Raw genomic sequence first — 17,789 nt, 5'->3', positions numbered from 1 at the left:
CCTCAGCCTCCCGAGTAGCTGGGACTACAGGCGCCCGCCACCAAGCCCGGCTAATTTTTTGTATTTTTAGTAGAGACAGGGTTTCACTGTGTTAGCCAGGATGGTCTCGATCTCCTGATCTCGTGATCCACCCCGCTCGGCCTCCCAGAGTGCTGGGATTACAGATGTGAGCCACCGCGCCCGGCCTGTCATCTAGGTTTTAAGCCCTGCATGCATTAAGTATTTGTTCTAATGCTCTCCCTCCCCTTTACTCCCAACCCCTGACGGGTCCCAGTGTGTGATGTTCCCCTCCCTGTGTCCGTGTGTTCTCACTGTTCATCTCCCACTTATGAGTGAGAACATGCGGTGTTTGGTTTTCTGTTCCTGTGTTAGTTTGCTGAGGATGATGGTTTCCAGCTTCATCCATGTCCCTGCAAAGGACATGAACTCATTCATTTTTATGGCTACATAGTATTCCATAGTGTATATGCACCACATTTTCTTTATCCAGTCTATCATTGATGGGCAGTAAATGCCTCCTTCTATGTATAAAGACACCTATACAAATGTATCTTTGAACTTCTGAGTGTAGAATGTTTGCAAACACATAGTAAAACTATTACCACTCACGGTGAGTTGCAGTTATAGAAACTCCTTTTATTCTCTCTTCCCCACAGTCTAACGAATACTGCTTTGCAGAAGTAACTTTATTTTAAACAGATCTGATCATGTCACTACTGCCCTCAGAAAACGTTAGAGGTTCCCTATAGAAAATGTAATGAAGCCTAAATTCCTCAGCCCTCTGTCAACATTTCCCCTGCTGAACTTTCCGATCCTATATTTCATCACATCTTCCCTCCAATTCTAAGCTCTTCTCATAGTAGGCTACCATCATTCCCACCAATATACACACAATTTCCTGACTGTGCACCTTTTTTATGCTGTCCCTTCTGCCTGACATTCAATACTTGTCCTAAGTCTTAAACATCTTTTAAGCCCCAGATGAAAACACTTAAGAACAGAATCTGCCTTATTTTCTCATTGAATATTACATTTGATTATGGTGTGTTTCAAAGTTTGCCTTAGAGCATAATACTCATTTGTGTATGCTTCTATCTTATCTCACAACTCTCTTCCACCTGTGCTCCTTTCAAGCATGAGAACACCTGGTTTATTTGGTATTTACAGTTTCTTGCATAATGCTTAACACATGCTCAGAAAATGTTGGTTAACTTGAAGCAAATATTCACCAATGTTATTTATTTTTATAACTACTTCATTCCACCAGTGCAAAGAATGTACCTATGCTATGAAATGGCCAAAATGTAAATATTTTTCTGACATATTTAAAAAATATGCCATGTTTGATCCATTATCTCTCTATCCTCAAGGAGCCACTAACTCAGATGTTTACGTCAAAACTTTTATAGATCTCATCTATAAGACATGAATGAAAAATTTTAAAAACAAGTTATTATTTTCAAGAAAGATCTTTCTATAAAATGAAGAGGTTTAATTCAAGGTCTCACTTCCTTTATTCCAGTGCTAGCTGTGAAATGTGAAGAAGTAGCCTGAGGTGCTTGAGATTAATACTCTACGGACAATTAATCTAGTTCAATCTTGAGCATAGAATACTTAATACAAGTACTGTACTTATGTAGCCATTCATTTTCCTAACAAAGACTGATTATATCCCCAGGAAGTCAACCACAGCTCTCCATCACTTACAGCCACTGGCCAACACTTCGTCTCCAGTGAAAATATTGTGTCTTTTTCTATTTTAAATATTTTTATCTTATTTTTATACACGAATATCTGTGTATGTCACTGTTCTCTATCTTAAACTAAACATTTAAGAATGGAATGGCCATACCAAAGTCTGGTCAGCCTGATCATTTCAGTCATTTTAATTTAAAGAATGAATTGGATCAGCAACTTAATGATCTGAATTAAGCTGGTTTGGAAATCAGATAATGTGAGAATAAACGACCGTGGGTTGCATAAGTGTGATCCATACCTATCTGGAAGGAAACCGTAAACCAGAATAACCATAGTCTGAAACATGGGGTGGAAAAACAATTTTATCACAAGAAAATATTTTACTCCAAGTTTCTTCAGGTAGGGGAGGCCCTTCTAGAGAGAGACAAAATGCAACTATACATAACAAGAGTTTAGAGCAATGGAAGAGAATCTCCCAGCTATGTTCAGACCAGAAGATAATATATTTCAAATAAGCCACAGAGGTCTTCATTCATTCATTTAACCAGACCTGCTCTGTGCCAAGCACCATTTTAAGAACTGGGGATACAGTTAAGAACAACAACAACAACAATCTGCCATTATTAAACTTACATTCTAATCCAAGAAGAAAATAAATAATCAAATGAACACATAATACAATATCAGTTATTATAGAAGAAAAGTAAAGTAGGGTAAATACATCTAGCCTTTGGGGATAGGTCAGATAACAGAATTTCAGAGAGAGTGGTCAGGGGTCTCTTACCTGAAGACAAGTTAGCAGAAACCCAAAGGAAGCAAGGAAGCAAGCCATGAAGAGATCTTGGCAAGAGTGTTTCAGGCAAAGAGAACAAGTACAAAGACTGGGTGAGAGTAGTTGGCGGGTTTGAGGAACAACCAACAAAGTCATGGTGCCTGGGGCTATAGGCGTGTGCCATCACACGCCTTAGATACATTTTGACAAGTATATTCACCCAGGTAACCATGACCTCAAACAAGATACAGAGTATTTCTATTTTGGCCTGGTGCAGTGGCTCACACCTGTAACCTCAGCACTTTGAAAGGCAGAGGCTGGAGGATCACTTGAGTCCAGAAGTTCAAGATCAGCCTGGGCAGCATAGCAAGACTCTGTCTCAACAAAACGTTTAAAAATTAGCCAGGTGCTGTGGCATGCACCTGTGGTCCCAGCTACTTGAGAGACTAAGGTGGGAGGATCACTTGAGCCCTAGAGTTTGAGGCTGCAGTGAGCTGTGATCACAACTCTGCAGCCTGGGTGAGAGAGTGAAACCCTCCATCTCTCTCTTAAAAAATTTTTTTTCCAATTATCCCTAAGAGTTCCTTCATTTCCACTTCCAGTCAATCTCCACCCTGCCTCCTGATGCATATGGTCTAGTTTTTTTTTTTTTCCCCACCATGAATTAGTTCCACCCATTCTAGAACTTCATATGAATGAAACCATAGAGTATACATTCTTTTGGTAAGGCTTTGTTTGTTTACTGTGTTTTTGAGACTTATTTATGTTTTTGCATACACTATTAGTCTATTCTTTTTTTTAACTGCTGATTAGTTAATATTCCAATGTATGACCATTCCGTACTTATTTGTCTATTTTTCTGTTGGAATTCATTTGAATGGATTCTAATTTCTGACTATAATGAATAAAGATATTATTTTATATAACTCACTGTGTTGATATATCTTTTTATTTCTTTTGGTAAATACTTAGAGTGGAATTGCTGAGGCATAGGGCAGGTGTATTTTTTCCTTTTAATGAAAAAAAAAAACCCTGCTAAACAGTTTTCTAAAGTAGTTGTACCTTTTTTCAAGTTCTTTTGAGGCACTCATTTATTTATTTTGGAATTCAGATAAGAATGAACACATCATAGACAGTCATTGTACAAAGTAATCCAGTTATCTCAATTGAAATTAATAAACGTTTTTGCTTCCAGATAGTTAACACTTTTTTCAGATCAATCTTAGTGCCATGTTATGCAAAAACTAAATTTTAAAAAACGTCTACATAGATTAAGATTGTAGAAGCCAATTATGCTTTTCTCAGTTGGAACTATTTCAAAATAACTGTTTCAGCAATATAAATCAGATCAAGAGGAGGTGAATTTCAGTTTACTTCCTGAAATATAATTCACAAAATAAGACCTTTATCTTTAAGAGGTCCTTTAAGCTGGCTTTTATTCTGCTGTGATTTCCAAAATCTCACTAACAGGGAGAAGAAAAAACTAGCCTTATTTAAAATGTTCTGCCTTTTAATGGACACCAGTTTTAGGTCTTCTTTATGCCATTTAGAAGTGAATCTTTTTCCATTTGGTAACCCTTTTTTTTTTTTTTTTAAGAGACGGATTCTTGCTCTGTCACCCAGGCTGGAGTGCAGTGGTGCAATCTTGGCTCACTGCAACCTCCGCCTCCCAGGTTCTAGAAATTCTCCTGCCTCAGCCTCCTGAGCAGCTAGGACTACAGGCACAGGCCACCACGCCTGGCTAATGTTTTTTTTTTTTTTGGATTTTAGTAGGGATAGGGTTTCACTGTGTTGCCCAGGCTGGTCTCGAACTCCTGAGCTCAGGCGATCCACCCACCTTGGGCTCCCAAAGTGCTAGGATTACAGGCATGAGCCACCGTGCCCAGCCGGAAACCACTTTTTTCCCACTGTTCTCCCAGCTGTTGTAATAGAGCCCCAATTTCTTTCCCTGAAGAGATCCCCACTTTCCTGATGCCATGACAGTTACAGGAAATGGGATTCACCGTTGCTGCATTTCCTTTCAGAGACAGTGCTCTCCTTGGTACCGCAGTAGCTCACATACATGAGTAGTTGCATCATGTTCCCTGGAACCTATAATGAAGTCTTGATAGAGTTTCAATGGTTCTGAACTATCTGTTGCTTTAATTAAATCTTTCCTATTTTTAAACATAAATAATCCAAGACTTTTCTTTTTTTGTGCAGTCTTCGACCTCAAATCCACTTTTGCAACATCATCCTATCACTTGAATAATGAGGCAAAAAGAGTCATTGACTTTGGTGAAAAACCTTCAACATTTTTACTGACCTTATTAAACTCTTCTAAACTTTAATTAGCAGATAAACCTATGTAAGGAGCCACATCAAGATCATGGATAAGGGGAATCAAATGATTTACATGGTTACCAACAAAAATTTTTTCAGTTCCACCCAAATCCTCATTCCTGATATTCCACCCAAGCGTTTTGCATTTTCTGCAGTTTTTACAAAGCTTTAGGACCATGGTCACCAGGTTGCTCTACAATTGTCCCATAAAAGTGGAGGAAGGTCTAGCTAAGTTGGGAAGAATATTAAGAGGAAAGTTCAAACTGTGCTAAGTGGAAGCTCATGAGTTTCTTATTTTAATTTAGCAATCAACACTGAGAGTTTCTGCAACTCCTGGAGCATTTTGGAAATTTGAACTTGAATATTGCAGCAATTTTCATTTTTAGTTAAAAGAAAACATTTGGATTTTGTTCTAATTTATCCTGTTCAGATTGTGGCAATTAATATGATTTTGACACTGAATTCTTTAAGGTGTTTGGACCTTTCCAAATAATGTTATTTGCAGTTCCTGTTATTATTTGCAAGGATATATGTAGATAATTATAAGATTTAATTAGTAAGAGTATTTTATCAGCCAGTCGTGATCTGTAACAAGTATTTTTAAAAAGCTAGTACTCCTATAAAACCTGAAATATCTTAAAATTATAAGATAATCCTCTTTTATTTCTGTTTGGCATGCCCAACAAATCTAACTTTCTTATTTTTTAAACCATAACCATTAAAGTCATCAAATAAGATATCATTAAAATCTAAAAACACAGAATTTACAGGGACAGCCCTGTGTTCAGCATCTTTCTGCCGGTCAGTTGTGAATTCGACTTCAGCATATCATCCGTCAGTGGCAACATCAATCTGTAGTGTAATAATCTTAACATATTCTTTGTGAAGCCTGCCAGTAATTGTTCTGTGCTCTTCTCCTTTGTTGTTTCTCATCCAAATCCTGGTTGACTGAGACATCGTCTTCATCTGAGTAGGAGTGGCAGTGTTGGCAAAATCTACGTTTCCAGGCTTTACTCCATTGAATAAACCCCCCACTGTTCCTGCCCTCCTGCTTTTTTCTTTTTTTTTCCTTCTTCTTTGAGACAGGGTCTCTGTCACCCAGGCTGGAGGGCAGTGGTGCTATCTCAGCTCACTGCAACCTCCACCTCCTGGGCTCAAGTGATTCTCTTGCCTCAGCCTCCCAAGTAGCTGGGACTACAGGTGCACGCCACCGTGCCTGGTTAATTATTGGATTTTTTGTAGAGACGGAGTCTCACCATGTTGCCCAGACTGGTCTTGAACTCCTCAGCTCAAGCAATTTGTCCATCTTGTCAGCCTCCCAAAGTGCCAGGATTACAGGGTGAGCCGCCACACCTGCCCCCTCTGCTGTTCTTAATTCATGATTCTCTTTCACAAGTAAATTGTCAAACTCATCAATCCTTCTGAGAAAAGTGACTGGAATTCTGGAGACTGCCACTTCATTGTAAATAGATGTTGCTTCGGAAGGCAGCCTACTCCAACTACAGCTCAATGCTGGCCTGTGCCCAGGATACATGGGTCTCAGCATCTGGAGAGTACATCAGCAGCCTCACAGGGACCCCGCCGATGCCGCATCCATGTTTCATTCCCTTCAACAATGTTCCAGAGTTGTGGTTCTTCCACATCCTCTCCAACATTTAGTGTCATCAGTTGTTTTAAATTTTAACCTTTTTTTGTAAGTGCATAGAACCATCTCATTGTGGTTTCAATGTGCCTTTTTTTGACACCTAATGATGTTGAACCCTTTTTCTTATGTTCATTGGCCATCTTTTTTTTTTTTTGAGACACAGTCTCACTCTGCTGCCCAGGCTGAAGTGCAGTGGTGCCATCTCAGCTCACTGCCACCTCCACCTCCCGGGTTCAAGTGATTCCCCTGCCTCAGCCTCCCAAGTAGCTGGGATTACAGGCATGTGCCACCATGCCCAGCTAATTTTTGTATTTTTAGTAGAGATGGGTTTTCACCATGTTGGCCAGGATGGTCTCGATCTCTTGACCTCGTGAGCCACCCTCTCGACCTCCCAAAGTGCTGGGATTACAGGCATGAGCCACTGCGCCTGGCCCATTGGCCATTTTTATATCATTCTTTGTAGAGGGTCTGCTCAAGGGTTTTTCCTATTATATTGCTGGTTTGTAGGCGGTATTTATATCTTCTATATAGATTCATATAGGTTATACAATTTTCTAACTGTGAGGGAAAGCCATCAGAAGGTTTGGAACTAGGCAAAGCCAGTAGTTATGCAGAATTTGCACTGTGCGATTTTAGGGGCTGCCATTCACATTTATAGTCATCATAGGTATGTATATTTGTTACAATTTTCCTTGATATAACAGTATATATTAAGGAAGAAACAATTTTTTTTTTCTAATTCACTCAGAAACACCACTTGAGATAATGGTGGACCACTGCCATAGATCTTTATAAGGATTATTTTGTCTTTTGTGTGGATAATTAACTATGAGGAGGCAAGGAGAAGAGGTCATCCAAGCAGAAGGTTGAGAGTGTCAATGAGGTGTTTTGGGAAATTTTGTTGTACTTTTTGCTTTTAGCTGTATAACATATGAGACGAAAGAGGCAATTTAAATTAGTAGCTATTCAGTTTCTAAACAAAATTTAGAAGAAATATGAAGGGCCCCAATTATGCTAGATTGGAAGATGAAACTTTTTCACATCTCCTGTCTCTCTAACTGATGTAATATTCTCAAAGTAAGAGATAGTCTCAGAATCTAGATCAAATCAAGGGCAAGACTATAAACCTTTTGTTAAAATTCTTGAAAAGATTCATGGCTATGCTTGCTAGACTCTCTTAGCTTGGCAAAAAAGCTCCTGAGAATTTTAAAGGCATTGTCCTGGCATGATGTCTAAAGTAGAGAGAAACCTGCCCAAAAAATGAATTGTTGGAATGGATTTTGTCTTGTAAAATGAACTATAACCTGATAGATAATAGAAAGCTCACAAAGTTTTAAGAAGTAAGAGAGTTGTATTACATTAGACTAAAAACATCAGAGATACTACAAAATGAAAGAGACTTCTTGGCTTCTAACTTTCTACAGGCTGAAAGTTTGCTGAGAGAGCTACTCAGCTGCCAACACAGCCATTGCTTATGAAAAAAGGTGTTCCAGAGGGTAGAATCAAGACCCAGAGCGAGAAAGACCCAGATGGGGAAAAATAAGAGATGAGAAGAACCATAGGTTAGGGAACTATTAATACTTTCAGGGATTAGAACTGGGCCCTAATCAAGAAATAGTCCCTACTGTGGAAGGTGAAATTAGCAACATGTCCGTGGCTGGAGGTAAGAATTCCTATAGACCAGTTATTCCATGATTTTCTTGTCCTTCCCCTTTTGAATAGGAGTGTTTGCAGCCAATATCCTACTACTTTTTCAACATTATATATTGTACGTATTGGAGGAGATGATGTCATTTTTGTTCAGAGGTGTCTAGCTTAAGCGGAGTGGTATCAGAGAAGATGTGCTTGAGAAACTACATCCAAAGTGCCTCACCAGTATCTGGACCGGATTTATATGATGAGATCAAGAATTTTAAGCCTGATGCTCTGATTGAATGAGAATGTAGAAGGGATATGAATTACTCTGGCCTGAATTGGCTGTGGTAGATTGTTTTCAAAGATGGCTGCAACAACTCCGCATATTCTGCATGCCCCTCCTCCTATTTGGAGAAAGAATTTTTATCCCCTGTCCTGAAGCTGGGATGTCCCTGTGACTTGCTTTGATCAACAAAATGTGGCAGAAGTGATGGTGTACAATTTCTGAAGGCTGGCACAGTGATATCTTGTAGCTTCTACCTCCAATCTTTTGGAACAGTTTCCTGAGGCTGCCTAGGATGAAAGAAAACATGGAGAAAAAGGCTGAGCCATTAGCCAGAGCCAATTGACAGACTTGGGAGTGGAACCATCTTGGGGTTCACAGCTCAGCCAGCCCTCCAGGTGAATGCAGCTCAGACAAAACCAGCCAATTCATAGAAGTGAGAAAAGATAATAGATTGTTATTGTTTTAGGCCACTAAGTTTTTGTGTGTTTTATTACACAATAATAGATAACAAAAGCAGAGATTGATTTTGTTATAAAAAATCTTTCATCAAAGAAAACTGGCTCAGATGGCTTTACAAACACATTCTATGATCTTTATGGAGGAATAAAACCATTCCATATGAACACTCCCTAAAATAAAAGAGGAAGGAACACTTAAAGTCTAGTTTTATGATATCAGCAAAACTGTGATGTAAATAATGAACAAGTACATTTCTTATAAGAAAAAAAGCATTAGTTCACTATTCCTCATAATTATAGGTACAAATATTCCTAAGAAAATATTGAAAAATTGAATCAGGCAATATATAAAATGGAAAATATTTCAGTACCAAGTGGTACTGTGCATTATAAGAATGCACAGTTGTTCTAGGGGAAAAAATATTATCATCTCAATAGATGTGTAAAAATTTGAAAATCCAGTGCCCACTGATGATTAAGAAGTACTAAGAAAAATAGAAATAGAGAGGAATTTTATCTGGTAAAGAACATCTATAAAAATTCTACAGCTAATAGAATGCATTCTCTCTAAAATCAAAAACAAGGCAAGCATATGTGATCTTATCCCTTCTATTCAGCATTGTGTTTGAAGTCCTAGCCAGCAGTAGGTCAAGAATCAGAAACAAAGGATCAGGGAGTGGAAATGAGTAAGTACTGATTGTCAGGCCCCTGAGCCCAAGCTAAGCCATCATATCCCCTGTGACCTGCACGTATACATCCAGATGGCCTGAAGCAACTGAAGATCCACAAAAGAAGTGAAAATAGCCAGTTCCTGCCTTAGCTGTGATTCCACCATTGTGATCTGTTCCTGCCCCACCCTAACTGATCAACTGACTTTGTGAAAATACACCCTCCCTGCCCTTGTGATAATGTACTTTGTGATAGTCCCCCGCCCTTGTGAATGTACTTTGTACGATACACCCTCCCCACCCTTAAGAAGGTACTTTGTAATATTCTTCCCTCCCTTGAGAATGCACTTTTTAAGATCCACCCCCTGCCTGCAAAAATTGCTCCTAACTCCACCACCTATCCCAAACCTATAAGAACTAATGATAATCCCACTACCCTTTGCTGACTCTCTTTTTGGACTCAGCCCATCTGCACCCAGGTGATTAAAAGCTTTATTGCTCACACAAAGCCTGTTTGATGGTCTCTTCACATGGACACGCATGACACTGATTATTGATTTAAGTATTTATTTTAAAATAATGTGGCTGTTTACATTGAAATTTCCAAACTCCCACTGGAAATTTTTAAAGCAAAGGAATAGCCTCCTCAATGAATGGGAAAGCTATTTGGGGAAAGTTTAATGAGGAACAGGATGCTTACATCATTTTAAAACATCTTTTATTACAGATCACATTAATTACAAAGAGAAAAATGGGAAAACCCCATAGATCTCATTTTAATCAGGTGGTCAAAGTAATGTCATCAATGACCAGACACACAGTGACACAAAGTTAATGTCATTAATCATGTACCTCCTGATATGATGCACAGAGAAGAAAAAATATCACTCAAGTAGTGCTCCTGTTCAAGATTCATAATTAAATCTAACCATGGAGAAATATTTTTTAAAAATCCAAATTAAAGGAAATTCTAAAAATTGACCTTTATTCTCCAAAAATGTCAACATCATAAAGGTTGAAGAATTAGAGTCATGACAATAATGAAATTGATCTTGGATTGGATCTTGAATAAGAGGGAAAAAATGACATAGAAGACATAAAATGTGAACATAGGCTGAATAGTAAATAGTATTATTTTATCGATGTTAAATTTTCTAAATGTGATCAATATACAGTGGTTTTAAAAGAGACACTCTGTTTTTTCATTTGGGTCTATGCTGTACTTCATACTGGAAAATTATTCTTATTTTCTCCATCTATGCATTTTCTGCTGATCTTCAAATTCCTTGTAGAATTCTCTCTTTTCTGAAACCTGTTCTGATGACCCTAGCCCACAGGCATGTCTGCCTCCACAGGATTCCTATAGTATTTAATGTATGTAACACACTATTACATTGACTGGTAAGTTAATGAAATAGAAGGCACAGCATATTAACAGATTGAAGAGACAGGGTTCTGTACCTGGGCATGTCTTCTATTTAATGACATTCATTTCTACCTGTTACTTGACTCCCTTTCCTCCTTGAGACATTTCCTCCTTGAGAGATTTCCTAGTCTCTGAAGAAGCAATCTACAGTAATATATATGCAAACTTCAAACCACAGCAAATATTTCACCCAGACTTATTGTGTATATAACTACATCTCCTACAAAAAGTTTATACTTATCTTTAAGAGTGTGGTGAACAGTATACCAGAAATATATCAGATATACATTATTTGCTTCAGAAGGCACAGGAAACTTTCATTGAGTATGAACAGTGAATGAAGAGACACTAAGGTTGTGTGTCTCTGCTCATCACAAATAAGCAATTCAGAAAATTGCTTCTACTTTAAATGGACAATTGACAAATCTTCATCCCTTAGCCTTCTAGCAAAAACTATCAAAGAATTAGAGTGCTATATCTTAAGTATAAGCAACCACTTAGTTCAGTGCCCATCCTTCCCCACCCCCGCCATCTTTGCATTTCACAAGAAAACAAAACAAAGCAATGGAGTCCTAATAAAAGTAAATTAATCACCCAAGGGTATACAATTACAGGGAAAAAATGACTCTAGAGTCCAGGTCTCATAACTTCTAGGTTTTTTTTTATTTTCTTTGCATATCAGCCTCTCTGATTTTACTCTTAAATACAGAAACTACATTATTTGGGTTATAGCAACTACTGTAGTAGTAGGAGTACTTTACTTCTGCACATATAACGATAACAAGGAAAGGTGGAAGGCCTGCTGTTTCCCTATTGCTTTGAATGAAGTAACAATTTTAACCCTGAAGATAAGAAAATGTTCTATTTAGCCTTTTTTTTTTTTTTTTAATTTTACCACTTGTTTCTTCCCAGGACACCAGATAAAGGAGGACTAATAAGCATAAATGGTCCTGGGGACTCTAGGACAAGGGCTTGGACAAAAGGCAACAGTACCAAATAAGTTCAGTTTATTCTCCATCACACAAAACATTCCTTCAGGCTTACTCTAGCCTTGTGCATACCACTGGACTAAAAATAGACCCAACGTTTATTCCTGGAACATTGTTTAGTTTACTATTGTTAAATTCTCCAGGCAAAGTGTTTTTCCTAGGAGATTACTTCTGGGGATCGCAAAAGCTAAGGTTCTCCTGGGTTACTCCTGCAAAACATACTGCTCTCCTAGTCCCTAACATGATCACAAACTCTTGTCTTTTTCCAATACACAAATTTAACAAGCCAGCTGTCATTTCCATGCCTCTGTTTTCTTGCCTGTAAAATGGGAATAATAACTGCTCTGGTTATTTCATGGGTTTTGTGCAGCTCTAAGTACATAAATGTGTGCAAATGCACAGGATTATTACAGTTGTCAGAGTCTGCCAAGAGGTAATGTTTTTCATTTTTTTATTGTAATTTAATATTTAAAAAAGAGAAAAATGTGGGAAAAGTTTCTCTGAATGTTATCTTTGTACTTTTAGCCTGTCCCTCTGGTCTCCCACAGCTTCTGACATGCATGCAGTTTCTCTCACTCCGCCTCCGCTCTGCTGTATTGGCCAGAGAATGGTGCCTGACTTGACTTTGCCAGTCAGACAAATGTCAATCACTTGTGCAAAGTCCATTTAAAGTCTAGTGTTGCCATCTTATAATCAATAATGGGAAAAGTGACTACAAATGGGATTGAATTTTTTGTAATGTGTCTCTGTGGATTTTTTTAAAAGGACATCTGATTAACATATCCTGTTACGCCTCTTATGTGGCATATAGAAACTTGTTACAAATAACCAGACAACTGTCTTAAGAGGACCCTATTCTAACTAGTCAATGTAGTATGCACTTCTTTTTATATAAATCCAATATGCTGTGAGTTCCTGAAGGTTAATCATCAGGTGTTATAAATCTTTTATCCTTTACAGAGTTAATTAGTGGTAAAAGTAATTTAGTGGCAGAATAGTATCACTGAATGAATTGTCATCAGATACTGAACTTTAGACTGCTTTTAAAAGTACTACAAGAAAGGCATGAGTTGACACAGCCTTCATTAATAGTCAGGTATGGCCAAGGTGTGGGGAGAGTCAATAAAGATGAAACTGAGTTAAACAAATCAGCCTATGTGGACTGAATCCACCAAAAGCTTAGTATCTTACAACTAAGGTAACCACCCAGAGACAAAGTAATAATAGCTCCTATTGATGTTGTTAGCATTATCACTATAACATTTTTTTCTTTTTTTGGCCTGGCTAATAGGGGAGAAAATAGGATTGAAAAAAATATTGACTGTATACCTACTATGTTCCCTGCTCTCCTTTCAATGTTCACAAAAATCTTATGAGGTAAAGAGGGAAATTATGGTTATGTTAATATGAAGTACAAAGATCTCTTTTCCATGTCTTCAACCCAGGTCTTTTGACTCCCAGATCAAAATTTTGAATTTTATCTCTAATTATAAACATCTCCTCTCTCAATGCTTTTGATTAAGAAATGACACGAATTCACAATCAATGGTGAAAGCCATGAGTTTGATGGAGTATTATGGCCTTAATTTACAGAGGAATAAATTCAAGTAAAAAGAGATGAAGAGAGGCTTGTTTCTAATCAGCCAACAATTAGATGTAAAACCCGGGTTTATTTTATTTATATCATTCACTCATGTAGTTATTAATTTGGTGAATATTTGTTAATGACCTACTATGAGCCAGGTATCTGGAGGATGCTGGGAATCTAGAAATGAATAAAAGGAATGGAAATCTCTGCCCTTAGGGAACCCAAATGTTAGTGGGAGTAATCAGACAATAAAGCAGGAAGGACGTAAGGAGAGTATTGTGTATGTGTTGAAATTTTAATTAGAACCATAGGAAAAGTCTCACTGAAAAGCCAATATTTGAGTAAAAGTCTGAAGGAGGTGAGAGAGACAGCCATGTAGCTATCTGAGGAGAGCATTCCAGGGAAATGGAACTGCAAGGGCAAATGCCCTGAGTTACAGCAAAGAAACCAATGTGGTGAGGACAGAGTGAGAGGAAGGGGAGTAGAAGACAGAGTCAGAGAGGTAGCAGTCATTGGACCTAGGGATGGAGGGAACATATGTCAGTCTTGAGACTTTTAATGTTACTACTCCAACTTTGCCTGATGATATGGTTTGGCTCTGTGTCCCCACCCACATCTCATCTTGAATTGTAATAATCCCCACATGTCAAGGGCAGGACCAGGTGGAGGTAATTGGATCACAGGGGAGGCTTCCCCCATGCTGTTCTCATGATAATGGGTAAGTCTCAAGAGATCTGATGGTTCAATAAGAGTTTGGCATTTCCCCTGCTTGCACTCATTCTCTCCCCTGCTGCCCTGTGAAGAGATGCCTTCCACAATGATTGTAAGTTTCCTGAGGCCTCCCCAGCGATATGGAACTGTGTGTCAATTAAACCTCTTTCCTTTATATATTACGCAGTCTTGGGCAGTTTTTTATAGTGGCATGAGAATGGACTAATACAGTAAATTGGTACCCATAGAATGGGGCACTGCTGTAAAGATACTAAAAAATTTGGAAATGACTTTGGAACGGGTAACAGGCAGAGGTTGGAACAGTTTGGAGGACTCAGAAGAAGACAGGAAGATATGGGAAAATTTGGAACTTCCTAGAAACTTGTTGAATGGTTTTGGCCAAAATGCTGATAGTGATGTGGACAATAAGGTCCAGGCTGAGCTGGTCTCACATGGAAATGAGGAACTTCTTGGGAACGGGGGCAAAGGTGGCTCTTGATATGCTTTAGCAAAGAGACTGGTGGCATTTTGCCCTTGCCCTAGAGATCTGTGGAACTTTGAACTTGAAACAGATGATTTAGGGTATCTGGTGGAAGAAATTTCTAAGTGGCAAAGCATTGAAGGGGAAGTAGAGGATGAAAGTTTGGAAAATTTGCAGCCTGATGATGCAATAGAAAAGAAAAACCCATTTTCTGGGGAGAAATTCAAGTCTGCTGCAGAAATTTACATAAGTAATCAGGAGCCAAATGTTAATCACCAAGACAATGGGGAAAAGGTGTCCAGGGTGTGTCAGAGACTTTCACAGCAGCCCCTTCCATCACAGGCCCGGAGGCCTAGGAGGGAAAAATGGTGTCCTGGGCCGGGTCCAGGGCCCCCTTGCTGTGTGCAGCCTTGGGACTTGGTGCCCTGCATCCCAGCCACTCCAACCATAGCTAAAAGGGGTCAGAGTACAGCTCAGTCCATTGCTTCAGAGGGCGAAAGCCCCAAGCCTTGGCAGCTTCCATGTGGTGTTGGGCCTGTGGATGCATAGAAGTCAAGAATTGAGGTTTGGGAACCTCCACCTAGATTTCAGAGCATGTGTGGAAATGCCTGGATGTACAGGCAGAAGTCTGCTGCAGGGGCAGAGCCATCATGGAGAACCTCTGCTATGGCAGTGAGGATGGGAAATGCAGGGTTGCAGACCCCACACAGAGTCCCACAGGGGGACTGCCTAGTAGAGCTGTGAGAAGAGGGCCACCATCCTCCAGATCCCAGACCCCAGAATGGTAGATCCACCAATAGCTTGCACTGTGCACCTAGAAAAGCTGCAGGCATTCAATGCCCCCCTGTGAAAGCATCCTGGGGCAGGGCTGTACCTTGCATGGCCACAGGGATGGAGCTGCCCAAGGTTGTGGGAGCTCACCTCTTGCATCAGTGTGACCTGGATGTGAGACATACAATTAAAGGAGATCATTTTAGAACTTTAAGTTTTAATGACTGCCCTATTGGATTTCGGACTTACATGGGGATTGTAGCCTCTTTGTTTTGGCCTATTTCTCCCATTTGGAGTGGGAACATTTACCCAATGCCTGTACCCCCATTGTATCTTAGAATTAAATAACTTGCTTTTGATTTTACAGGCTCATAAGTGGAAGGGACTTGCCTTGTCTCAGATGAGACTTTGGACTTGGACTTTTGAGTGAATGCTAGAATGAATTAAGACTTTGGGGGACTGTTGGAAGGGCATGATTGTGTTTTGAAATGTGAGGACATGAGATTTGGGAGGGGTGGGGGTGGAATGATATGGTTTGGCTGTGTGTCCCCACCCGATTTTCACCTTTAATTGTAATAATCCCCATGTTTTAAGGATGGGACCAGGTAGAGGTAATTGAATCATGGAGGTGGTTTCCCCCATGCTGTTCTCGTGATAATGAGTAAGTCTCACAAGATCTGATGGTTGTATAAGCATCTGGCAATCCCTGCCTTGCACTCATTCTCTCTCCTGCCACCCTGTGAAGAGGTGCCTTATGCCATGATTATAAGTTTCCTGATGCCTCCCCAACCATGTGGAACTGTGAGTCAATTAAACCTGTTTTCTTAATAAATTACTCACTCTTGTGTATTTCTTCACAGAAGCATGAGAACAGCAAATACAGCTTATATTCAGCAAGATGGAAAGCCATCAGTATGTTTTGAGCAAAGATGTAACCATACTGTGACTTAGCTCTTCCCTTAACATGATCACTCTGATGAGTGTATTAAGAATAGACTAATAAAGACAAGTGTGTAGGAATGGCAAACATTTAAGAGGCTAAATCATTAACTCAAGTGAAAGATGGTGATATCTTGGGCCATGCTATCAAGCACTGGAAGTTGTGAGAGTATTTTTTTCTAATTGTCACTTAGGACTATCACTCCTCTTATTTTGTTATATCATTTTTAAAAATGTCCAATGTTTAGAATGATAATCCTTAAAAACTGAAGTGGATGAGAAATGCAAAACAACTTTTGGTCTTTAAGCGTACTTATGGAGTAAAGAAGTTAAGCACAGGTAAAAATAAAATGCTAATTACTTGAAACCCTTTTTTCCCACTGGATATAATAGCAATCATCTCCAAAGACTCACACATCACATAAAACTTAGCCCTATTTGTAATCATGCTTCTATTTTTGATTAGAAAAGATAATTCTCTAGTTAGTTCTTTGTACCCATAGTTTGCTTTTTGAGCAAAGTCAAGTTCTGGCATATTCTTTGTCTAATATATTAAGCATACTTATTAGGGTGGCGGTGCATCTCAAAAACCACAATAGATTTATGGAACAGGTTTGTTTTTCAGAGGTCTTGGTCCCAGTCCCAACGTGCCCTCTTTTGGAGACCAGAGACTCTAGCATCAGTTGAGCAGTGCTTCCTCCTCAAAGGTATGGGCTACAGGTCCATGGGGCCACTCATTCAAACTTTTAAGTTTAACTCCAACTGGATCCCTTCATTTCCCCAACTCTAGAGGTGGTAGCTGCTTCCTGCAGTTTCTACCCTAGTGATAATTTTATGTTTACTTTTAAGCATTTAAATGTACCCAGTGAACAATTTTTATACCTAATTAACAGTTTTTCGTATTAAATCCTTTCTCTTAAAATTACTTGCGATTTTGACCTCTGGCTGGGTGCGGTGGCTCATGCCTATAATCCCAGCACTTTGGGAGGCCAAGGTGGGCGGATCACCTGAGGTTGGGAGTTTGAGACCAGCCTGACCAACATGGAGAAACCCCATCTCTACTAAAAACACAAAATTAGCTGGGCATAGTGGCTCACGCCTGTAATTCCAGCTACTCGGGAGGCTGAGGCAGGAGAATACTTTGAACCCGGGAGGTGGAGGTTGCAGTGAGCCGAGATTGCGCCATTGCACTCCACCCTGGGCAACAAGAGCCAAATTCTGTCTCAAAAAAAAAAAAAATTACTTGTGATTTTGACCTCCTAACTGAATTGAATCAGAAATTGGAATCAATATTGTCTCAGGAAATAGTCCTTTGAAGATGGAATTTTGGCATTGGTTTGGTAATTCCTTGGTCTTGAATTCAGTGCTGAGATTCTGGCCTTGGGAAATGAGATGCTGGT

The 17,789-nt window shown here is 39.2% G+C and overlaps 1 protein-coding gene and 1 pseudogene across 9 annotated transcripts in view; one reads left to right on the top strand and one right to left on the bottom strand.

Annotated features, from left to right (window-relative positions):
• RGS5 (regulator of G protein signaling 5) overlaps positions 1-17,789 on the top strand; it is a 179,437-nt gene that overhangs the window by 78,184 nt on the left and 83,464 nt on the right. The gene's annotated exons all lie outside the window — the stretch shown is intronic.
• On the bottom strand, positions 3,565-6,387 carry TRNT1P1 (TRNT1 pseudogene 1; annotated as a pseudogene).

This window comes from Homo sapiens, chromosome 1, assembly GCF_000001405.40.
Source record: "Homo sapiens chromosome 1, GRCh38.p14 Primary Assembly".
Taxonomy (NCBI): domain Eukaryota; kingdom Metazoa; phylum Chordata; class Mammalia; order Primates; family Hominidae; genus Homo; species Homo sapiens.
This window is presented reverse-complemented; position numbering and strand designations above follow the sequence as displayed.